The 1,078-nt window shown below is 52.1% G+C and overlaps 1 annotated feature.

Annotated features, from left to right (window-relative positions):
- Nucleotides 353–854: an enhancer, noted in NCBI's record as "H3K4me1 hESC enhancer chr17:41705361-41705862 (GRCh37/hg19 assembly coordinates)". NCBI's record gives its function as "activates a minimal SCP1, AML or CMV promoter by ChIP-STARR-seq in primed H9 embryonic stem cells {active_cell/tissue: H9 hESC(primed)}" and the evidence as "EXISTENCE:reporter gene assay evidence [ECO:0000049][PMID:30033119]".

The raw sequence follows: 1,078 nt of genomic DNA, 5'->3' as shown, positions 1-1,078 counted from the left end.
CCGGCCAAAGGAATCTTAAGATCAAACACCACTATGTAGCAGAGTTGATAGGCCCTTGGAGACCCTCCCATCCAGCTCCTTGCACTCATGGGGAAACTGAGGCCCAGAGAGAAGGGACTAGTTCAGCAAGGACCTAAGCCTAGGGAGATAAGCTGCTCTTATCAGTTGGAGTTCAGAAGAGGGACAGGAGGGAGGGCTAGACCAAAGACAGCAGCCAAAGTCTGGGCTCCTGCCCTCTGTCCAGGGCTTGATGTCCTCACGACGGGTCCGACCTGCCAGCAGAAGCCAGCTGGCCAGCACTGAAGGTCTCTATCTGTCTAGACTGCTCGCTGGCCCATCCTGCCGAGAAACCCAACTCAAAGGGGGGCTGGGACAGGCGGAGTGGCCTTGGAGGTCCCCGACAGCTCCGGAAGTCTGAGCAGAGAGTCTCTGGAAGACTGAGAGGTGTTGTCTCTGCAGAAAAGCCGTTGGACATTTCCGTGTGACGGTGACACAAACCATTCCTTCCTCCATAATCACCCCTTGCTACAGTGCTGGCTCAGGGCAGACAGCCTGCCGTGCATGGACTTTATTTTCAAAACCCTCTTACTTCTTCTTCTTTTTTTTTTTTAATATCCCTGTGAATGCCTGAACTCCCAGGCAGAGGGAAGCACTCAAGCCTGTCCTTGAGTGTGCTAGTGGTGATGTGATGTCCCAGACGGGACCCTCCGAGCTCTGCGGCAGGAACAAACCCCCTGCTGATGTAATTTAAAAGAATAACCTCCCAATTTTCTCATCTCCCTTTGCTGGATACACCTTATCAAATGACAGGAGAAGCCAATGTTTGGTTAAATGGTTCAGAGGTTAATACTCAACAGATGGGAGAATTTTTTTCCTTTTTCTTTTTTTTTTCTCCTTTCCAGGAGATCTGGTCTGCTCCTCTTGCTTACAACAGGCTTAGGTAGTGGAGGGTGGAGGAGAGATGGGGGGAGGGGGCAGGGGGCATTCTTCCCATCGTGCCCGTTTCTCTCCAGTTACCACTGTCCTCAGGGTCTCAAGCTGTGTCCTCAGCCTTCACAGGACCGTGCTAATAGGCAGG

The sequence above is a fragment of the Homo sapiens genome, chromosome 17 (genome assembly GCF_000001405.40).
Source record: "Homo sapiens chromosome 17, GRCh38.p14 Primary Assembly".
NCBI lineage: Eukaryota > Metazoa > Chordata > Mammalia > Primates > Hominidae > Homo > Homo sapiens.
Note: the sequence above shows the minus strand (reverse complement) of the source record. Positions and strands in the feature narration are given on the sequence as shown.